At 42.0% G+C, this 23,495-nt stretch overlaps 2 protein-coding genes across 32 annotated transcripts in view, besides 1 other annotated feature; one reads left to right on the top strand and one right to left on the bottom strand.

Annotated features, from left to right (window-relative positions):
* PIWIL1 (piwi like RNA-mediated gene silencing 1) overlaps positions 1-23,495 on the top strand; it is an 88,374-nt gene that overhangs the window by 56,584 nt on the left and 8,295 nt on the right. Inside the window, exon 21 of the transcript XR_007063144.1 lies at positions 18,164-18,388. The gene's annotated coding sequence lies outside the window, so the exon portion shown is untranslated. The remainder of the gene's footprint in view (positions 1-18,163; positions 18,389-23,495) is intronic.
* RIMBP2 (RIMS binding protein 2) overlaps positions 1,663-23,495 on the bottom strand; it is a 320,167-nt gene continuing 298,334 nt past the window's right edge. For 11 of the 31 annotated variants that reach the window (NM_001351227.2, XM_047428628.1, XM_047428630.1 and 8 more), the window contains 6 exons: positions 19,655-19,836; positions 18,149-18,317; positions 13,256-13,359; positions 11,702-11,773; positions 5,209-5,343; positions 1,663-3,079 (listed from right to left, as the gene is read on the bottom strand). In NM_001351227.2, the coding sequence (NP_001338156.1) occupies positions 2,891-3,079; positions 5,209-5,343; positions 11,702-11,773; positions 13,256-13,359; positions 18,149-18,317; positions 19,655-19,836 (851 nt within the window). In that variant the 3' untranslated portion in view covers positions 1,663-2,890. Of the gene's footprint in view, positions 5,344-11,701; positions 11,774-13,255; positions 13,360-18,148; positions 18,318-19,654; positions 19,837-23,495 lie in introns of all 31 variants that reach the window. The other 20 variants (NM_001393616.1, NM_001393628.1, NM_001393625.1 and 17 more) reach the window with 5 other exon arrangements.
* Positions 18,050-18,219: an enhancer, noted in NCBI's record as "experimental_25849 CRE fragment used in MPRA reporter constructs". NCBI's record gives its function as "activates a minimal promoter by MPRAs in K562 erythroleukemia cells, with activity observed for both the introgressed and non-introgressed 12:130897150 variant alleles {active_cell/tissue: K562}" and the evidence as "EXISTENCE:reporter gene assay evidence [ECO:0000049][PMID:34662402]".

Here is a 23,495-nt window from a genome sequence, read left to right on the forward strand (position 1 = left end):
TTTTTCTTTTAATATGAATGAGGCTTTCAATGTAGTTTTCTTTCTTTTCCCAAAAGCTTCCAATATACCTGCAAACAAGCTTTATTTAGCAGAACTTTTCCCAAGAACCCAGTTCGTCACTGCCAGACTGCCTCTACCTCGGGGCCACAGAAAAAAGTACCGTAGAAATTTCTGGAAGGTTGGGGATTTTTGCATTTTTTTTTTTTTTTCTGAGTGCAGCTTTAAATAATTTTCAAGAATAAGAAAATACAGTAAAGCTCACTTGGTGGAACACAGGAGTTTTGTGTTCTAGTTTAAGCAAATAGTTTATTTGAAAAGTGTTAGCGAGAGGATAGAAAAATGTTTATGTGCATGAGAAGTAACTGCAAAACGAAATTTGGCAAAAGTTTCTCATTTTGAATATACATAGGAAAGTCATAACAGAAAATGAAATTAAGAATTTAGGTATAGTTGTTTGTTGTTCAATGAAAATTGTGCCTTTACAGGTCAGGATGAGAATGGGAGGGTCATTCTGAATCGAAAGAATCACTTGTTTTATTTGGCAGGGGAGGGGGAGCAGCAGAGGCAAATGGATGGTAATGTGGGGAGGCGCTCATGGGTCAGGGCTGCAGCCACTTCCTTAGAAGCAGCGGGAGGAAGGGTTGGAGCCATTTAACTGCAAGAGGAAATGGTTTCTGTTCTTTGAGTACTCTGTACAGTTTGGGCTTCCACTTTTAGACTAACCTGTGAAGACAGAAAATTACACTCACACTGGTAATGGAGAGCTTCCTAACTTGTTTGGTACAATTTTCGGTCATAAAACAAAAGCAAAACATGGTTTTTCTCTTATCATCACCAGAAAAGGGAGATTGCTGAAGTGACTCTCAGCTCAGTCTGGGAGGGAGTTGGGGCTGGAATGAGTAATTAAATGTGACTTAAGCACTTTCTTGTCCTCAGGGTGGGTGCTTTGGTTTTAGGAAAATTGTACTTACTTATAAAATAGGGGGGAAGAAAAGCTAAGACCAGCTCATTATTACTTCAGGTTTGCCTACATTTTCATACTTTGGGGAATTGGTAAATATTTTCAAAAGATTTAGAGAAACATTAGTTCTGGATACTTTTTGTTAGCAACTCTTCAACTTTTCCTGTAAATACTGTAGGTAAAAAGATATTATGGTAGCAATTATGAGATAAATTATAGGTTCATGAAATTATGTACTTGAACTATATTTTCATCTTGCCGTAAGTGTGTTGGTTTTACCTCTTTCTTTGAAAAGACATCATCTGGTTACTTGGAGAATTCTAAAATAAGGCTTTTAGGAAAATTGTATGTATTTGGGAAGTTATATTTTGTTGTATTATGTTGCTGTAGCCGTTCATTAATTTCACTTGAATTCTAAAGCTGCCAGAGGGAATTAACAATTTGTGTTTGAATTCATCCTGGTAGTGCTTATACTGACTCCGTGCGAATGACCTTTTGTCACTGACTGGACTGTTACTGGTAGTATGAGAGTGTCACAACATTGTCAATGGCTCCCAAAACATAGACCAAAATTATTTTTGGAAAAAAAAAAAAATACTCCCAGAAACGGTAAGGTTATGGTGCTTTTTGTAAACATTAAGAGAAAGGAAGTCAGTTATCCCGCTATGATAAAATATTTAAAACAAAGAGAATAAACAGTGTTGTATAAAATAACAAATTTTATTTCTAGAAAATATTTTACACTAACTGTGCACATGCACACACCCACACAGAGCTTAACCACACATGGATTTCCTTTAATAATAAATCTACCACATACTATTATATTACAATTTATAATAGCGTTTTTGAAGACACAATGGGGAAAGCTTTGTCATTCATTTATAAACCGTCCATAAATTACAAAAGAAAGGCAGTCTGAAAAGTATGTATAAAGAGTAAAAACAATTTACAAGTGGACAAGAATTACAAAAGAGTAACCATCAAATACATCTGCCAGCAACTTTGTAAGTAAGTCTTTTGTTCAAATGCCAATGATGAAGATGGGTATGGACTCATTTGGAGCAGATTTAAATTGAGTCTGGTTTTGGTGTGGCTTATGCATTATGTGGATTACTTGTGTGCCATTCATTGCTGTGTATTTGGGTATGGCATTTTGACAACGAAAGTAACAGAAAACCATATGCCACAGAATAGAACATTAAAAGCAATGAAGATAATCGGCTTTCTGGAAGGTTGGAGTACTGGTGCTTTACCAAACAAAGTTACTTTCTCTCCTTTTCTCTTTTTTGAATGATTGAGTAAACATTTTCTGTGTGTAGCCTGGCTGGCTTTGAAAGACTGAAACTAGTATCTTAAAATGCACAGCCTGTACAACTTGATCTCAAACCACTGTGTCAGGATGAAGACCACTGAATGCACGACACATACAAAGTATACACTGTTTTTATTAGACAGTACAAATCATTGTGCATTTATAAGGCAGAACATCAAGGCGAATTAAACTAGGAATTTCAAGACCAGAGTCAAAGTGAAAGTTATGCATTATGAGGCAAGCATTTTGAGAAGGGAGAAAGGTTGAAAATCATTCCTTTAAGGGCAGATGACAAATGCACAAAGACTGGAATTACAGGTAGGGAGGGAGCTACAGGTGATAGCTATGCGCCCCCGTTTGTTAATAAGACGTCCCCTCCCACCTCCCAAATCAGAGCTTGGACAATGAGAGCAGACTGCCAGCGGTGACAGAGAGCAACCGCTCCTCTTTGTTCTCGTGGTTGGTTTAAAGTGGTTGGTAGTGCAAAAGTGCATTTCTCTACTGGTGTCAGGGGAGAAGATTGGGTTTTTTTAGGAAGTACTTGAGTCATGAAAGCCCTAGTTTGGAATTAAAGAAAATTACATAGATTTGGCAGTTGTCCGGAAGCACATGAATCATTTCACTGCACCCAGCTTTTTCAGCAGTTTCTTGCCTTTGGAAAGCAGCCCCTTTTTCTTTTTCGAGGACATTTCCCTGCCTCTCCCAGGACTACCAGAACCCATAGATGACGTAGGTGACCCCGAATGGAGATGGACTGTGGGGGATGGAGCTCTCCTTGCTGTACCTGAACCCTCAGGAGGAACCTAGTAGGTACAGTGTTACAGTTTATTGAGTGTGTGAGCGCCAACAACAGAATTCACTTGGTAACATCGTACTGTCCCCGTTTCCCACCAGGAAAGGTCAGGGGGGTTCATTTGTTCTTTCAGTTGTTGAAGTATGCCATGAGAAGCAAAGGTCCTCTCCCACAGCACGCCAGAGAGAGGCCCCAGACATAAATGTGTGGGTTCCGTTTCTCTGTCTCGAGGGAGTGCGGGGTGGCCGTTGCTTTGGCAAAGCTAAGGCAGGTAATAATTCACTTCATAAATGAAGACTAAGGGCAGGGGAGACATGATCTGAAATTAGGTTGATAGTAAAGTTGGCCGAGTACCCATCAGTAGTCTTAAAAAGCGAAAGTTCATAAAGGGAATTTTGTTGTATTTGAAACTATTTGGTTATATAAAATCCTGATATTGTTAAAGTGCATTCCTGGGGTGGTTGGTATACTATAGAAATATTGGAGATGGCACACTGGTTGAAAGAAAAAAAAAAACTAAAATGAACCTTAATTATAATCAAAGAAAGCTTAAAGGCCCTTAGTGGATGCTTGCATTATTTCCAAATAATTGAACATGAATCTTCCTCAGTAGATAGCACATGGTAGTATTTAAATATACGTTAAGCGCTTAATAGTGCTTCAGAGGGGTAGACTTTTACTCTAATACGCTGCAGGACGACTTCACCTCGCTTCCCTTTACAGCTAAGCATGTGCCTGAGTTGGCAGTGCAGCAGCATTCCTCTGGCCCTACCTCTCCAGAGCAACTCTTGCCATGTGAGTGTTTAGTATTCAGCAGGCAAATGCTGTAAGCCAAGGGGCTTCAAGCTTGCTTGGATTTAAAATCAAGGTCTAATTCTAATGGAAAACACCTAGTAAAGCATCCCAAAGTACACCTGAAGATACCATCTATTCCATCTAATGTGATCATTTGAGCTGCGTGCTTCATCAACTTAGTATTGCATTGGTATACCAACAACAAACGCGTGTTGCAGCAACTTCTGTCACAGGATGATTGTGCTTTGAGGAGGAGCATAGCTCTCTCGTAAGGTAGAGGCAGGGTTACTTAAGGAAAACACGTTCTGGCCACTCGAGCCAGTGTTTGGAGTGTTCAGAGCCAACACTCGATCACCTGTGTTCACTACTCATCTGCTTGACCTTGGGTTAAGTTTCTAAAGTAAAGCTTCCTATAGTAAACATGTTTGTTAGGTTGTGCTTTTTCCAAGAGTGGCTAACAATGCAATATGCAGCTCTCTCTATGTAAACACACAGTTAGCTTGTTAAGAAATATGTTCCCAATGTTGGCCTTTCAAATATTCTTAATGCAAATAGTAGGAAATGATTATTAAAGATGATTTGCTTCACTATAAATTCAGTTGCTTTACAACTGAGACCAAGTAATATTCTAATTATTTAGGTCCAATAGTTTTTTGAGACATATTTCTTTGTATCTTTTTTTTTTTTTAACCCCACAATGAAGCCTTAAGTCTACCACACTGGCCCGGTTAAGGTAGCTTAAGTTGGTATCTTTATCGGTATCTTCAGTTGCTCACTTACGTGAAGGCTACATTGCCTGATTAAGGTGTGAAATGAACACTCTTCTTCTGTTTCCAAGCAGATGAGCAAAGAAATAAAAATATATATATAAAAATATAATATAGAAAAACTTGCAGTGATGAAATAAAATAAAAATGAGATACTAAACATGAATGTAGTCTAATAGTTCAATATGCTTGAGAAGCCCTTGGATCCTTGTGAAGAGACTAAAGTCCTAACAGAGGGCAAATAACCTCCATTGCCCACCAAATCTGAAGAGGAGCCATCCCCTTTTCACTCTTGATCAAACTGAAATGTGCTTCTATAATGTAGGATGGGACATTTCTTTGTGAGTAAAGGCAGATTGATTGATTAGAATTGAAAGGGTCTTTTTTTGTAAAATGAGTAAGATTTAGAATTAAGAATTTTTAGGTACAACTCCCATGGCTTCAGGGCAGAGAAAAAAAATTCAGGGTGTATTTACGCTTTTCGGCCCAAGATATAAAAATATCAGTGCAAAGATTGTATTAGACCACATATGGCAGAACGGGACAGAGATTAAAAAGGCTAAATAGGTTTGCTTACCCTTTTTGCCTTTGAGCGCATTGGCGTATCTTGAGAGTAGTGGGATGGAGCATCAGAAAGATAGACTTCTACGTCATCAGGCACTTCTTCCAAGAAGTTTGAGGGCACAAGGCCTTTCTGCCCATTCAGCTCCCCCTAAAACACCAGGGGTGAGGCAGAAGAACTATTTATTTTTCTAGAAACCCACATCTTGCTTTGGCTAAAGGAATACAGCTCAGAGTACAGGTACATGGTGAGTTTATTCTGGTTCAAAAGTGGCAGGACTTGAAAGGACTCTAAATCAGGGTTTCCAAATTTTCCTCAGCAACATGCAGAGTCCTAAGCCCCTTTCCTGGGGTCTTGATTTCTCCTGTTCAGTGAGGAGCTGAGGAATCTGCCTTTTGGCCAAAGAGCCCCTGGGATTCTTAGGATCAGGCTTCTGAAGGAAACACTCCTTGGCAGATCTCATTTAGTGGTTCTCGGGCCTGGCTGATCTGAGGCACTAGGGAGCTGCTAAAAACACATCGCTCAGCACACCAGCCCAGACCAATGATGGACACCTTCAGACGGTGGGGACCTGGTGGTCCTAACATGCCAGCAAGCTTGAGCGCTACTGGTCTACTCAGCCTTAAGACTGTCCTCCCTCTTACTCATGGATAGGTTATTATCGTAAACATTCAAACAATATGGAGAAAATGAAAGTGTCTGTTGATAACCTCCTCAGACATTACTGCTTCAGGTTGGTATATATCCTTCCAGATCTTTCTACTCATTTACATATCTATGCCTTGTCTAAAGTCGAGATCCATGAGTCCATCTGCCTGCTGGTCATCTGCACCAAGTGGCTCACAGGCCTACCACGTCACTTCTTCCCCAAACTCATCTGCCCATAAAGTGCCTAAACCAAGTTCAAAATTGGCTGGCTCTGGGCAACACGGAATCCTGTTTCTCTGTTTATATGGTCTAGGAAATGACATAAAGAGCCTACTACATCAAAACACCTGTGCAGTGAAGGACACAGCAGAGTGATGAGTACCTGTGGAATGGGAGAAAATGTCTGCAAGTCATCTATCTGCTAAGGGGTTAATATCCAGAACATATAAAGAACATCAAAAAACCCAATTAAAGACATTTCTCCAAAAATGAGATTCAGGTGGCCAGCAGGCACATGAAAAGATGCCAGTCACCACGAATCTCCAGGGAAATGCAGTTCAAAACCATGTAGTACCACCTCACACTACTATCAAAAACAAAATGGAAAAAACAGGTACTGGTGAAGATATGAAGAAACGAATACTCGTGCACTTTTGGTGGGAAGGTGAGATGGTGCAGCTGCTGTTGAAAACAAGATGGCAGTTTTGCAAGATGGAAAGAGTTCTGTAGACGGATGGTGGTGATTGTTTGCACAATGTAAACATACTTAACACTACTGAACTATATACTTAAAAATGATTTTATATCTTTTTTTTTTAAATTGAGACAGAGTCTCGCTCTGTCACCCAGGCTGAAGTGCAGTAGCGTGATCTCGGCTCACTGCCACCTCCACCTCCCGGGTTCAAGCAATTCTCCCACCTCAGCCTCCCAAGTAGCTGGAATTACAGGCAGATGCCACCATGCCCGGCTAATTTTTGTATTTTTAGTAGAGACAGGGTTTCGCCGTGTTGGCCAAGCTGGTCTCGAACTCCTGACCTCAGGTGATCCACCCGCCTCAGCCTTCCAAAGTGCTGGGATTACAGGCTGAGGCACTATACCTGGCCAATTTTAGATAAATTTTATGTAGATTTTATCACAAAAATTAATTGGAAGAGGCAGCCCCACATACTTCCTGCATCTTCCTGTTCAGCAACGCTGCCAGGTGCACACTCACTGCCCTGCCCCGCCCCACTCTTCTGCTTGGACCTTGAAGGTCCTACTCTTATTTACCTGTGACTGCCCTGGGCCTTCTCTCACCGGCTCCATTATTAGCTTATTTTTCTCTGTTGACATTACAGACTATTTCTAGGCCACCTATCCTTTTTACTGTGCATGTGCCCCTGGCGATTTCTTCCTATCGAGGGTTTTTAATAACATCTAAATACGAAGACACTCAAAAGTTATAACCAGTCAAGTCCCCCCTCATTAGGTCCAACAGCCAGATTTCTCTGCCAGCCTTAGAAAAGATTCTTCCTCTGGCTGAGCACCAGATGGAGTAGTTGGCTTATATTTGGGGAGTGTGTTCTGTGAACACACACAATGTTATGCACACATCTCCGCTGGTGTCATGCTCACACCACAAGAGGCGTGTGTACCCCAGCCTGCAGAGGCTCCTGTAGAGCCAGGCCTCCAGGCCAGCCCCTGCTCTGGCTGAGTAGAATGTGGGTGGAACTGCCTGCACTGGTTATTGCTCTTGTTCTTTTGGGCTGAACACACACAGCCCTAGTAAAATCCACGTCAGAACGCACATGTACCATGTCACTCCCTTCCCCATGTCTGATGCCTCTACCACTGCGTGCTACTGCGTCCAAAGTGACGACGGGACTTGCTCGCGGTGTGAATACTGCTTTGGCCTAAGTTCCGTTCTGTTTGGAGAGGCTCAGAGGTCCTGTTCACACCCCTCAAGCTCAAGAGTTTCTAAGCCAGGTTTTCCATTCAACGTTGTTCTTATCCTTGCGTTCTCAAGGGCACCCATCACCTAGGTCAGAATCGAAGGCTCCCCCAGACGACATTCTCTGTCCCTCTGACTGGCAGTCAGAACGCTGGATAAGATCATCTTGAGTCTGCCTTCCCCTGGTACTGACGTATTTCGGGCCATGTTTCCTGCCTGGAGGGTTCCATATAGCATGTTTCCCAGCCTCCTGGACCCACTCCCATCCCCCTTCAAAAGTGTACCATCAAAACCCTTTACAGAATAACTTTCTCTAAAAAAATTTCACCTTGACCTTTCCCTCCTCAGTCCCTCCATAATTTGATCTCTGCTTCTCTCCTACGCCTCATTTCCCACCATTTCTCTATTTGCGGCCAAACAGTAACTACCTGGAGGCCTAATGTCCAGACAGAATGGGAATAGGCTGAAAGGCAGAAAACACCAAAATCGATCCCCTCCCAGTTTTCTCTGTGCCCCAGTCAGTGAGACATCCACTCGTGTTTGCACACTCCTCTGGATTATCTCCCGTACCTTAGTACGCCACGTGATGGCTTGCTTTTGACATAGGAAGGTACAGGATTTAAGGTTTCAGATACCGAGATGCTGGGCTATAGCAAGAACAGCACACGCTTTAAAACACGATGGGGTGTTAGAAGTCTTCAGTGACTTAATGGGGGCTGATGTAAATTATGAAATAGCAAAAGGAGGAAAAGGCCAGGGAGGACAGCAGGAGTCCCTCGGGGGTCCCTGCTTACGCTTGTTTTACTGATATGGGATATAGCAGAACAGAGAAAGAGGAGGGTGATATTACAATATTAGGACCGGTGGAGTATTTGAATTCGCTCTCTCGAGATGTTTAAGGTTACAGATATCAAAACAAAGTACCAAGAAATTTAAGATTTTTGGTATCAAATTAGGTGTCCCCTGTCATTGTTTATCAAATAAGAAATACTTAAATGAACTGGGCAGTCCGCTCAGTGAACATGACCAGCAAAATCATAGTAAAACCATTTGGAGGAGTGGTAAATAAAAAGAAGCATACGTTTCATATTAATTTAGATCTGATTCCCACTATAATATAAAAACTTAGGGAAGACTATTCAAGAAACTAAGAAGATAAAACATAACTGGGGAATAGAAACATGCAGACAAATTAGAAAAATCTTCTTAAATTCCAGGAAAGCCCATTGTTTCTACATGTGAAAATCTAAATGAAAAGTACATTCCTCTGAAGATATGTAGATTGTTAAAAACTGATAAGATAACCATTTAAGCAAATAAAAACTTTTGTGCAACTGCAGTCTAAAAAGATACTGAACCTAAAGGATCTCTCTCTGGGCAGATTCTAATAACCTTCAAATAATAGTAATTGCTGTGTCACTTAATCTCCTCTAAAGCATAGAAAAAGGTTGAAATTTTCTTAGTTTATTTGGTAATTCTAGCATAATCCCGGTATCAAAAGCTACAACAAAGGTATTCCAATGAATACAGATTATTATTATTTCTGGAATATAATTTCTGAATAAAATATTAGCAAATCAACTTCCAGTGCCTTAAAAATATTATATATGATGGCCAGTAATTTACTGATGAAAAATAAGCAGAGCAAACTAAAACTTTCTTAGCATTATAAAGGATACTTTCTCCGTATTATAAAGACCATCTATCTTTACTGATAGTCTAACCTACATATAACATGTAAAATATGAGTGGTATTCCTACTAAAATACATAACGAGTCACAGATTTCCTTATCTCTGTTATTCAGAATCGTTCTAAGTGATTAGTAAGACAATTAAAAATGATGACAAATTATAAATATTGGTGAAGAGGAGGCAAAATAATGACAATCTGTGGGAACCCAAGGGAATCGGTTGATAAGAGAAATAAATGCATTCAGAAAAATGATTTGTGGGGGACATGTACACACACACACACTTTTCCAACATGTTTTCTAAATAACAGTGGAATATATGCTAGGGGGAAAAATCATTCACAATCATAATAAGATCTATATAATTCCTTTTTGTTTGTTTTTGAGACGGAGTTTCACTGTCACCCAGGCTGGAGTGCAATGGCATGATCTCAGCTCACCGCAACCTCCACCTCCTGGGTTCAAGTGATTCTCCTGCCTCAGCCTCCAAAGTAGCTGGGATTACAGGCACATGCCACCACGCCCGGCTAATTCTTTTGTATTTTCAGTAGAAACGGGGTTTCACCATGTTGGCCAGGCTGATATCGAATGCCTGACCTCAGGTGATCAGCACGCCTCAGCCTCCGCATGAGTCACCGTGCCCGGCCGTTGGATCTATATAGTTCCTAAGAGTAAACTTAAGATATATAAAGGATGCGTAAGAATAAATCTATGAATCTTTTCTGACAGATGAAAGGAAAAACTTTTTAAGAGGAGGCGCATGCTATGTCAGAATTGAAAGACAATATTATGTCTATTTCTTCCAAAAGCTAAATGTACATCTAAACAAAAAAGTATAGGTTTGTTGTGGAGGTGGGACTCTTTACAAAATGTTCCCTCCCAAACATAAAAATGCATTATAAAAATACAATAATTAAGACAGCATGGAGTAGTGTTAAAGTCCATAAATACTCTAAGTATTAAATTCCTATTTACACTTTAATTTTAAAACGTATTCATTTTTTATTATTAAAAAATGATTTTTTTAAAGTAGGGAAAGTGCAGATTATTTAGTAAATGTGTTGAGACATTTGTTCTCATAGTTAGGAAAAAATGGTAGATACTTGAGATTTACATGTGGAAAGTGAAACTATAAAATTGAAACAAAATGAGGTGATTATTTCTATCACCTTGAAGGACCTTTTAGGCATGACCCCCAAGGCAGAAACATTTGACCGCATGCAAACGTGAAATTCATCCTTAATAAACAACAAAAATGGAGAAGCAAACACACACACACAAAGTTAAAAAGCAGAGGTTGAGCTGGAAAGAACTATTTGAAACACATGTGACAAAGTATGAATATCCTCACCAAAGGCAAATCAGAAACCAGGCAGAGGAGAGAGCCTGGGAATCCTACACATGCCTGCGGCTGTAGCATGTTTGACTTGAAGAGAAACCTACCGTCCAGGATGTCATCAGTTCTTGCCGATTCTGATAAAGGCGGTGGGGGAGCAGGTGGAAACACATGTGCAAGGTGGGGACCCCCACTGGGCTCTGCGCAGGGTCCTAAGTGGCCCTGTGGGCTTCTGGTCAGGGAGGGGCAGCTACTTGTAAAGATGCCCCAGCTGCGGAAACTCTGAGATAACCCCACCCCATTCCCTCCCTTTGCCCCAGGGAGTATTCAAGACATGCTCCAGGGGAACAGAAAAGGAGGGAGGGTGGCTCTGAGGTCCCTGCCAGGAATCACCAGCAGCAAGGGGTGGGGGCGGGGTGGGGGGTTCCAAGCTGCTAACAGCAGTTGGCTCTAGAAAAAAGGTAAGGGAGAAGTCCTAAAATCTGTGGGGTTTTAGGTTTTTGTTTTGTTTTGTTTTTGCTTATTTGTATTTCTTCCTTTTCCTAAAATTTATTTTTGACCTATACAGTTAAGTAATCTAGAAACTTAAATTGTTTTGTAAATGTTTGGGTGGCAGCAATTTAAAAAATAAGAATATGAATGTATTTGTTTTGTTTACAGTGCATATACATTGAAAACACTAGTATTAGCAAGGAAGAAACAATGAAGTTCACAGTCCCAACTTTCTAGATTATCTATAACTCAGCAAAGTTCTATAACTCAGCCAATTAAGCAAAGCTATCAGCAGGCGTATGACGTTCATGCCCAATTTTAAGAGAAGGAACGGACTAGCAAAACAAAACACACAAAATAAATGAAAATACAAAAATCAAATGGTACTTCTTGATATTTCAAAAACTTACATAATAAAATCCATCTTCATCAATTTCACCAAAAACTGTAATAATATCTCCTGTGCAAAATGTAAGTTCGGCCTGTGGAGATGAAACATAAAATTAATCGTATTTTTCTACACAACAGTAGTAGTTTTTTAAAAATAAGTTCTCTATGCTTTCCCTTACTATTTGAGAATTTCTGGTATTAATCTACTCTTTCAGTCAAATAAAGGTAGAAGCTAATGAATGGCTCTGTCCACAGTCTTCTAGAAAGTAAGAACAAACCAAGATAATGTGCACCTAAAAGGAAAATGCTGCAGTGCTTTGATTTTGGCCAAAATTCAAGATTATTACCATGTTCTACTGATAATACATTTTTAAAGCTAGTGAAATGGTTAATTGTAAAAACCTGGAATATTAGGGAAATGTTCTCTGCAGTATAAGGACCATTACGTAAATATCCTTTCACTGAGTATTTTAAAACCTACTCAATTATTAATGAAACATCTATTTATTTATTGAGACAGAATCTCACTGTGTTGCCCAGGCTGGAGTGCAGCAGTGCAACCTCGGCCCACTGCAACCTCTGCCTCTCGGGTTCAAGCAATTGTTCTGCCTCAGCCTCCTGAGCAGCTGGGACTACAGGTGTGTGCCACCAAGCCTGGTTAATTTTTATATTTTTTATAGAGATGTGGTTTTGCCATGTTGCCCAGGCTGGTCTTGAACTCTTGATCTCAAGCAGTCTGCCCACCTCCCAAAGTGCTGGGATTACAGGCGTAAGCCACCGCACCCAGCCTAAACATCTCTTTATTCAGTGTCTACGATGGGCCGGGCTGCAGCCCCAAAGCAGGCGGTGTCAAACACGCCCCACTGCCCTCAGGGGTCCAACTGACCCAGCACATTTCAGTTCCCAGTCACCCAGCAGAACATGGAAGCAGAAATCTAGACAATATTCACAACCAAACACATTTTCTTTCTAAATGTCAAAATGAGGGAATATAGTTGGTGAGCCAGTGGCTTGTCAGAGCAAAGTACTGTGTAACATGGGTTCACATACATCTTGTCATCTCAGCTAGTAGCTGCAGAGACTGGAGACCCCACCTCTCATTTCTGAAGGCAGTGGTTTCAGCCTTCAAGACACCAGGCATCCCAAGCTGTGCCAGGCGACACAACCTCACCTATCACTGGTTTCCTCTCTACTGTTCTATGTGTGGGGCCTGACTGCTTTGCTTTTGTTTGCTGACCACATGTGATGGGCTTTTATTTCTCTCCTAAAGATGGCCCTCAGGTGGCATCACCATTAGATGTGGATGACAGATTGTTCTTTCTGTCATGGCACAGGAAAATCTGGGCCATGGGGACAGGGCTTGTCAGGGGCTGGCCATGTCCCTGGGAATCCCATGATTTCTCTCCTGCGTGGCCATGTCTGTATCAGCCATCCCTCGGATCGGCAGCCCTTCCTACGGATGGTTCGGAGAGAAGGAATGAGGAGGTGAACACACGTGGCCTCAGTGTGGTGTACCACGAGGGAAGGGAAGGGTGTGGTTGTGTCCGTCATGAAGTGCAGTGTTTGGCTGGTACCTCGACATCGACGTTGGGCGAGCTTTCTCTGGGGTCGTAGTCATACAGGGCCACCATTCTCCGCGTCGATACCGAATGACGCCTGCCACTTCTCCTGCTTCTCTCTGTTCAGATCACAAGGGGGAAAGAAATCCATCATGAGGTTATTTCAAACTTAGCGGTGTTCCCCTCCTTCCGGGTCACACATGGCCAATACAGCCGAGACCTGGCACTGCTAACAGGGCCACGTGCTCCTGGGCACTCACATCAGCAAACGTCTCTACTTTGGGTCAGTGGTCTGGGACTCCATATTCTTATATTTTTGCTGTAGTATGGTTTCTCCCCCTTAGACTAACATGAACCTTTTCCTTCCTCCAGTCTGTCCATTAAACCAGTGAGACTCACATGAAGCACGGGGCTCTCGAACAGCAAATTTAGACGGCTTTGGCCAGCACGGGGAGGCCGTGGCTTGGGAGGCCCTGCAGAGTGCACGGTTGTGACATTGCTCTGGGAAGGCCCCATAGACACAGTTTTAAAAGTGCCTGTTTGTGTAACTATGGTGGCGCTACAAAATCAAGTCATGCTCCCCTAAGCATAGGCAAAACTAAGGCACTGTCCTCAGGAGAAGCACGAACATAAACAGGGATGCCTTCTCCACCCAGCCCAGTGGCTTCCCTCATGCTGCTTCCCTGGCATCCTTCCATTGTGGTTTAGCAGCGGCCGTAGAGAAGATCCCAGCTCTGCACAGTCGACTTAGAGGTGCATTCCCACGGCCTGGCTCTGTCTCTGCCACAGATCGGGGCCTGGGCATCATCCCAGCACACTCAGAAGCATAAGAAGGGGCTGCAGAGGAATTGCCCTAGGCTCTGCCCAGCGTGAGCGCTCCACACAGATAACAGGTGAACACTCTCAGGACGTAAGGAGGCCTCAGTGCAGAGCCGCAGAACCTGGCCCAATCACGAAACCCCTGTCAGACTGAAGGGGTGGGGCTGTGAAGGACTTTCCTCCTGGCGAAAGTTGGCATTTATGTGTTTCTTCTAAACACAGCCACTTTTTGCTTACATTTGATTTGGGGAATTCCAAACATACAGATGAAAACTATCAAAGGCAAATATCTCAACGGCAACTAAAGTCAGCGATGTGGCTTTTCAGTGGTTTTCAGCAGGTACAGGGGCCAGCTGTGTAGCCCTGCAACATTCCAGCGATTACTCTCCCCTTGGGTTCTGGTTAGGAGCCACTGCTGTAGTTTACAGGACGCACACACGCCTCTGTGCACATGTGTCCTCTGCAGGACCTGCACATGTGTGTCTCCTCCAGAGGTTCGTGTTTCTCAGCATTATTCATGTTACAGGGAATGTTACAAGTATGACTTTTGAAAGGTGGCATAACAACATACATGTACTTCTCACTGAAGTCAAACTTACATACACGAAGGCTCACTCTTCCCAGCGTGCAGTACTTTACGTTGTGATAAGCACACACAGTCCAGAAACCCCACAACAATCAAGATATAGACCGGCCATAGTCCTCTGTAGTCACTTCAGCCCAGATGACCACAGATCTGTTTCCTGTCCCAGACCTTGACCCTTTCCAGAATGTCACTAAAAGGGACTCATACAAAATGTAGCTTTTTTTTTTTTTTTTTTTTTTTTTTTTGAGATGGACTCTCGCTCTGTCGCCCAGGCTGGAGTGCAGTGGCGCGATCCCGGCTCACTGCAAGCTCCGCCTCCCGGGTTCATGCGATTCTCCTGCTTCGGCCTCCTGAGTAGCTGGGACTGCAGGCGCCCGCCACCACGCCCGGCTAATTTTTTTGTATTTTTTTGTATAGACGGGGTTTCACCGTGTTAGCCAGGATGTTTCAATCTCCTGACCTCATGATCCGCCCACCTCGGCCTCCCAAAGTGCTGGGATTACAGGCGTGAGCCACTGCGCCCGGCCCAGAATGTAGCTTTTGAGACAGGCTTCTTTCATCTGGATGACGCCTCTGAGATTCACCCCTGTCACTGGCTGTATTAGCAGTGGCTCTGTTCCATTGCTGAGTAGGCCCCATTGTGTGGGGCGCCTTCGTTCTGTTTCTGTCACCAGCTAAAAGCACCTGAGTTGTTTCCAGATTTTGATGACCGTTGGTCAAACCACTATTAACAAACATTCATGTACAGTTTTTTTGTGTGTGAACGTAAGTTTCCCTTTCTTCTGAGTAAGTGTATAAGAGGGAAGTTGTTGGATTGTATTGTAAGTGCACATATAACTTTACAAGAAACCAGCGAACTGTTTTGCAGAGCGGTGATGCCATTTTCCACTTTCACCAGCATGCACAGGCCCACCTGGCACACTTTGTGCCCACACCTGCGACGGCCAGCCGTTTTAATCTTAGCCATTCTCAGTGTGTGTGCATTGGTTTCTCAGGGTGGTTTTAATTTGTGTTTCACTGATGATGTTAAAGATCTTTTCATGTGCTTATTTGCCACCCACATATCGTCTTTGGCGAAAGGTCACTTAAATATTTTGTACATATTTTTATTGGGTTGTTTTCTTATTGATGAGTTTTGAAAGGTCTTTGTGTATTCTGAATGCAAATCCTTTTTCCAGTGGGTTTTACTTGCAAGGATTTTCTGCCAGCCTGTGGCTTTTTATTCTGCACTTTTTAAGTGCAGAGTATTTAATTTTGGTGAAGCCTAACATTGACTTTTTCCTTTTATGTATCATGTTTTAATGTCCTGTCAAAGAAATCGTTGCCTGATTATTATAAAGTTTTCTCCTGTGTTTTCTTCTGGAAATATTAGAGTCTTAATTTTTATACTTGAAACTATGATCCATTTTTATTTAAGTTTTTAATATGGTGAGAGTGTGGTTAAGGTTCATTTTGGCATATGGATGTGCAGTAATGTCAGCACCAATGATTGAAAAGAGCATCCTTTCTCCGTTGAATTGCCTTTTTACCTTTGTCCAAAATCAGTGGACTCCATATGTGTTGGTCTGTTTCTGGACTTCATTCTGCCCCATTAATCTATGTTTCTATCCTTTCTCCAATACCACGTTGTCTCGATTAGCATACCTCTATAGTAGTAAGCTTGCAATTAGCTTATGTGAATCTTCCAAGCTTCTTGTTCTTGTTAAAAATAGTTTTGGCTACTCTAGTTCCTTTGCCTCTCCATATACATTTTAGAATTAGCTTGTTGATTCTACATAAATCCCAGCACAGATTTCGAATGGTCTTGCACTGCATCTGTAGGCTCACTTGGGGCAGCTGACATACCAATATTAAGTCCATGAATATGATCTCTCTGTCCATGTATTTAGGTATCTGATTTCTTTCCTCAGTGTTTTCTGATTTTCGGCATACAAATACTGCACGTGTTTTGTTAGACTTAATGCTAAGTAGTTCATGTTTTGTTGTGTCATTGTAAACGGCACTACTTTTAAAAATTTTAATTTCTAAATTTTCATTGCTCACATATGGAAATAGAACTGATTTTTGTATATTGACCTTGTATCCATTGATGTTGCTACACTCCATTTGTTAGTTCTAGGAACTTTTTTATCCTTTGAGATTCCTTGAGATTTTCTAAGTAGATTTCCATGTCATCTGTGAACAGAAAAAGTTGTATTCCTTCATTTCCAGTCTGTACACCAGGTGTGACTTCCCCTCACCATGTCGCCCTGGTTATGACCTCCAGTATGATGTGGAAAAGGAGTGGTGAGGGCCGACATCCTTGTCTGTGCCTGGTATTAGGAGGATCACATTCAGCCTTTCACCATTAAGGATGATAGTTTCTGGCAATGCGGCAGGGGGCACATAGATATATCAGGCTAGGTTCCCTTGGCCATCGACATTTAGAAAAATAGCATAAAAAATTTTAATCTAACTGATAAATCAAGTTACCGTTCCTTAACAGAAATTCTTGTATACTTTCTGGGTCTGTGGTGTACAGGGCCTGTGCTCTCTTTGAAAGAGTCTTAGTCAACTTCGGGAAAGGAGATCTTAACAAAAGTGAGTAGAGGGGATAAAGGGCTCAAAGATCTTCGATCTCATGGATTTAATGTGGGCGATATATTCACACTAAACTTCGACTATTAGATGTGGATTCTGTCTTGAAACAATGCGTTTATTAATGCCAAAAAAGGTTGAAATGTTTTGATTTTGTGATTATCCTTAAAATTATGTATATTCTTTGAAGCACAGAATTTTGTCTTTGAAGTCTGATTTAGAAGCTAATCAAGTTTTGAAGTATTAAACCTTAAATATGAATGATATAAAACTGATATCTCTCTACAGCTTTTTAGAAAAAGCAGAGGCTTTTTTTGAGACTACAGAGGCTTTTTTTAATGAGGACATTGTTATTGCACGTGGAAAAAAATTTAAAACTCATAAATGTAATGTTGCTTAAAAAATCACTGAAAATAGTTTTGCTGCATTCTCACTGGTGCTTGCAGACTGGCTTAAGATAAATGAAGGAGTTTCATGTCTACCCAAACTAAAGAGAAAAGAGCTTGTGCCTCTTGGATAAGCAAAGGTCACCTAAAGAATGAAAGGCATAGCGGCCCCCCAACCACCCACTGAAATTTATTGTAGACAGGCTGATGTTCAAACCGTATTACCAGAAAGCAGCTAATCATGTGTTTTCTAGATGCGATAAATTGTTTGCAAGCAAGACGGTACTTCATCGCCCATTAGATCATCTGTGTCTTCACACTTAGGTGTATCTGTGTCCCTAAAGCACACAGGAGACTACTGGCAGTCCTGGTTCGTAGGGTGGCTTTTGCCCAAGAAAAATCACTGGTCAACATTTACATGACTTTGGCATATTTAAATGATGCAATTTGGGGTCTCCTCATCACCGCCTGCCTCTCTGAGCGGCAGGTGTTTTGTGGGATAAAATGCACAGGGAAGGTCGAATAGGGGTTTGCGCTTACCTATTTTCTCCACAGGTGTATTCAGAGGGAGAAAGCCCTGTCTAAGAAGCTGATCCATCATCTCCTCATCATCTGCTTGTATCTCAGAGACCATGTTACAAGGAATAAGGCCAAGCCGGGCACAGGTTTCCCCACGGTAGAATCCATCAGCGTCTTTATCACCATAAACCTAGAGCCAAGGGGGAAAATAAATCAAGCACTGTAATTGATTGGTTCAGAAATACAATAGTCCCACTGACGGTAAGTGAGTGTAGTCGAAAATATATTTTAAATATAGTTTAAAAATACCATAAATCACCTGCATAGGTCACCCACGTGTGTGCTGTGGATGTGTACATGTAACCCTCGCTCTATGACTCTGACTTAAGAGCCAGTTTTTCATCTAGTGTTTGGACAACCTGCCATTCTTCTCATCAGGCAGGGTGTTTGCTTGGATGAATGCATGTTATTTAAATTCACGCACATTAAAAGGGTGTGTGATGAGACCCCACTCTACCAAGAAGGACCAGGTAGGCTGCACAAAGTGGTGTTTCTGTCTGCCTGAAATGGGTTCCTACGTAACAAGATAGTGCCACATAGCAGGCATTCCGACCGTTCTCAAATGCCAACTGTCAGGACCCTTGCTGAAACTGCAAACAGGGTTCAAGGCCCTCTTTCTTTCCCCTCTCCTACTGAACAGCACACTTTCTCTCATTTTCCCTACTTGAGACTCACAAGGCTCCTCTCCTCTCAGAAGGCTGGATCTCACGGCCTGTAATCCCAGCACTTTGGGAGGCCAAGGCGGGCAGATCACTTAAGATCAGGAGTTTGGGACCAGCCTGGCTATCATGGTGAATCCCTGTCTCTACTAAAAATGCAAAAAAATTTAGCTGGGTGTGATGGCGCGCATCTGTGTTCCCAGCTACTCGGGAGGCTGAGGCAGGAGAATCACTTGAACCTGGGAAACAGAGGTTGCAGTGAGCTGAGATGGTGCCACTGTACTCCAGCCTGGGTGACAGAGCAAGACTCTGTCTCAAAAAAAAAAAAAAAAAAAAAAAAGGAACTGGGTACCAAAGGGATAGGAAACAACCTCCATCAGGTGTATTAAAGAACTAAGGCATGGAACTCCAGCCTCTAGCTGCTGATGCTCCCTTCTTCCCTTTTTCCCTCCCTTTCCCTCTCCCTCCTTCCTCTCTTCCCTGCCTGTCTGCTGACTGACAAGTGTTGTTTTAAAATTTGGAGCCTGTGTTATTTTTCTCAACAACGTAGGCCCTAATAGAATCCAGAGTTCACAGGACATATTTGGGTGTGTTTGTGTGCACACAAACCGGGCAGATGCTGGAGAAGGCACTTTGCAGAGGGCAGGGCCCTTGCCGTCACAGCACCATGCCACCTCCTCCCGTGCCTCGCCCATGGCCTGCAGGAGAAGGCCATCTCTAAGTCGATACCCTGTTGCCAGTCTCTGCCCCCATGACCCAGACCCGCCTCAGGGGCTGATGAAGCCGCCCGCAGGCAGCCATCCCGCACCTTGATGATCTGGCCTTCTTTAAAGGGAAGCTCCTCCTCTGCAGCATCTGGGTTTGGGGACATGGTGAGCGGGTCGTAGTCAAAGAGAGCCACAAAGATCCGGGCCGGGAGCTCTTCGGCACCAGGGTCAGTTTCTGACTCTTCATAGAAGTCTGGAGAAAGGCGGTCTCGCCCGTAATCGTCTGCGAGCAAGTGGGGGTGAAGAACAGAGCGGCAGTGAGCCTAACTGAGGAGCGTGCACGGGAAATGCAGCTTTGGAAAGCAGTGAGGATGGCAGCGGTTCCTTGACTTTTGTCTTTTTTGTGTCTTAACATGTAGGTGGAAATAGATCGGGAGGTCTAGGTCAGATGAATTGGAGAAGCACATAACCACAGCCACACTCTGTACCTGGCCACACTGCATGTGAAAGCATTGAGACAGGGCTGGGCCTCGGGGGCCTCCTCAGAGAGCACAGGCTGGGGCAGGGGCTGCGGCCGTGCCAGGGGCAGGATGGCCCATGCTGGGGAGCCTTCCCAGGACCCACACACTCTGCAAAATGGAAAGCTAAGCACAGCCCACGTTTAAAATGTTTGTATGTTAGTCAAAGTCCATAGAGGTGACCAACTGTTCACTTACGTAAATATGTAACTGGCAACAAATGCATCCTTATTACAGTGAATTAATAATTTCCTGGTGAATTGGGTTTCAACTCCATATACCACCCAGCTTCCAAAAGTGGTTCTTTTGGACTAGAGGAAATGGATACATTCCTAGACACACACAACCTCCCAGGATTGAATCAGGAAGAAATCGAAACCCTGAATAGACCAATATTGATGAAATGAATTCACTGCTGAATTCTACCAACATACAAAGAAGAGCTGGTACCAATTCTACTGAAACTATTCCAAAAAATTGAGGAGAAAGGACTCCACCCTAACTCATTCTATGAAGCCAACATCACCCTGATACCCAAATCTGACAGACACAACAAAAAGAGAAAACTACAGGCTAATATCCCTGATGAACACAGATGCAAAAATCCTCAATAAAATACTAGCAAACTGAATCCAGCAGCACATCAAAAAGACAATTCACCATGATCAAGTAGGCTTTATCCCTCAGATGCAAGATTGGTTCAACATATGCAAATCAATAAATATGATTCACCACAGAAACAGAACTAAAACAAAAACCATATGATTATCTCAATAGTGCAGAAAAAGCTTGCAATAAAATCCAACATCCCTTCATGATTAAAAAAACCCTCAACAATCTAGGCATTGAAAGATGTACCTCAAAAATAGTAAGAGGCATCTGTGACAAACCCACAGCCAATATCATATTGAACAGGCAAAGGCTGGAAGCCTTCACCTTAAGAACTGGAGCAAGGCAAGGATGCCTGCTCTCACCATTCCTGTTCAACACTGGAGTGCTATAGCCAGAGCAGTCAGGCAAGAGAAAGAAATAAAAGGCATCCATATAGGAAATAAGAAGTCAAATTATCTCTCTTCACTGATGATACGGCATCCATATAGGAAACAAGAAGTCAAATTCTCTCTCTTCACTGATGACAAGGCATCCATATAGGAAATAAGAAGTCAAATTATCTCTCTTCACTGATGATAAGGCATCCATATAGGAAATAAGAAGTCAAATTATCTCTCTTCACTGATGATATGATTCTAAACCTAGAAAACCCTGAAGACTCTGCTAAAAGGCTCCTAAACCAATAGACAATTTCAATAAAATTTCAGGATACAAAATCAATGTATAAAAATCAGTAGCATTTCTATACACCAATAAATTGTTCAAGCTGAGAGCCAAATCATGAATGCAATCCCATTGACAATAGCCACACACACACACACACACAAAATATACAGAATACATCTAACCAAGACACACAGAATGTACCTAACCAAGGAGGTGAAAGATCTCTACAAGGAGAACGACAGAACACTGCTGAGAGAAGTCATAGATCACATGAATGCTAAAATATTCCATGCTCATGGGTTAGAATATCATTAAAGTAGCCATATTGCCCAATGCAACCTACAGATTCAATGCTATTTCTATCAAACTTCCATTGTCATTTTATATAGAATTAGGAAAAACTACTCTAAAATTCATATGGAACCAAAAAAGAGCCCAAATAGCCGAAGTGGTCTTAAGCAAAAGGAACAAATCCGGAGGCATCACATTACCTGACTTCAAACTATACTATAAGGCTACAGTCACTATAATAGCATGGCACTGGTACAAAAACAGACACACAGACTAATGGAACAGAATAGAGAACCAGAAATAAAACCACATGCCTACAACCCTCTGATATTTGACAAAGCTGAGAAAAATAAGCAGTGGGGAAAGGACTCCCCATTCAATAAATGCTGCTGGGATAACTGGCTAGTCACATGCAGAAGATTGAAACTGGACTCCTACCTTTTACCATATACAAACATTAACTCAAGGTGGATCAAAGATTTGAACGTAAGACCTCAAATTACACAAATACTGCAAGAAAACCTAGGAAATACCATTCTGGACATCAGCCTTGGCAAAGAATTATGACTAAGACCACAAAAACAATTGCCACACAAACAAAAATTAACATGCATGACCTAATTAAAGAACTTCTGCACAGCAAAAGAAACTATCAACAGAGTGAACAACACCCTACAGAATGGGAGAAAATATTTGCAAATTGTGCATCTGACAAAGGTCTAGTGTCCGGAATCTGCAAGGAACTTAAATCAACAAGCAAAAAATGACTCCATTAAAAAGAGCAAAGGACATGAATAGACTTCTCAAAAGATCACATACAAGCAGATAATAAAATATAAATAAAAAATATATTTAAAAAATGTATAAAAATAAATAAAAATGCTCCACATCACTAATCATTAGAGAAATCCAAGACAAAATCACAATGAGATACCATCTCACACCAGTCAGAATGACGATTAAAAAGTCAAAAAATAGACGTTGGGGTGACTGCAAAGAAAAGAAACACTTAAAAATGTATATACCATTGGAGGGAACGGAAATTAGTTCAGCCACTGTGGAAAGCAGTTTGGAGATTTCTTGGAGAACTTAGAACTACCATTTGACACACCAGTGCCATTACTGGGTATATACCCAAAGGAAAAGAAGTCGTTTCACCAAAAAGACACAGGCACTCAATATGGTGATCGCAGCACTGTTCACAATAGCAGGGACATGGAATCAACCTAGATGCTCATCAACAGTGGATTGAATAAAGATGTGGTGCGTATACCACATGGAATGCTATGCAGCCAGAGAAATGAACAAAATCACGTCCTCTGCAGCCACTGGAGGCCATCATCCCAAGAAAATTAACACAAGAACAGAACACCAGATACCTCATACTCTCACTTATAAGTGGGAGCTAAACATTGGGTCCACATAGACACGAAGATGGGAACAACAGAAACTGGGGAACACTAGATGGTGAAGGAGGGAGGGGGCAAGGGCCGAGAAACTCCTGACGGGGCGCTATGCTCACTACCTGGATGATGGCATCATTTGTAACCCAAACATCAGCATTCTGCACTATACCCATGTAACAGACCTGCACATGTACCCCAGTGAATCCAAAATAAAAGTTGAAAGTTTATTTTAAGAAATCAAAACAATTATTTTGGAAATCCTAATACATATGCATATATATACATGTGGATCACTAAACATCATTAGATAGATGTGTACATATGTGTATATATGTATGGAGAGAGAATGGGAGGGGAGAGGGAACTGACAGATAATATTGGTCTGATCATGGGAGGTGGTCTCACAACACCATCAGGGAAGCAAGTGAGAAACACGCCAGCTGGCAGCA

This window comes from Homo sapiens, chromosome 12, assembly GCF_000001405.40.
Source record: "Homo sapiens chromosome 12, GRCh38.p14 Primary Assembly".
Lineage (NCBI taxonomy): Eukaryota > Metazoa > Chordata > Mammalia > Primates > Hominidae > Homo > Homo sapiens.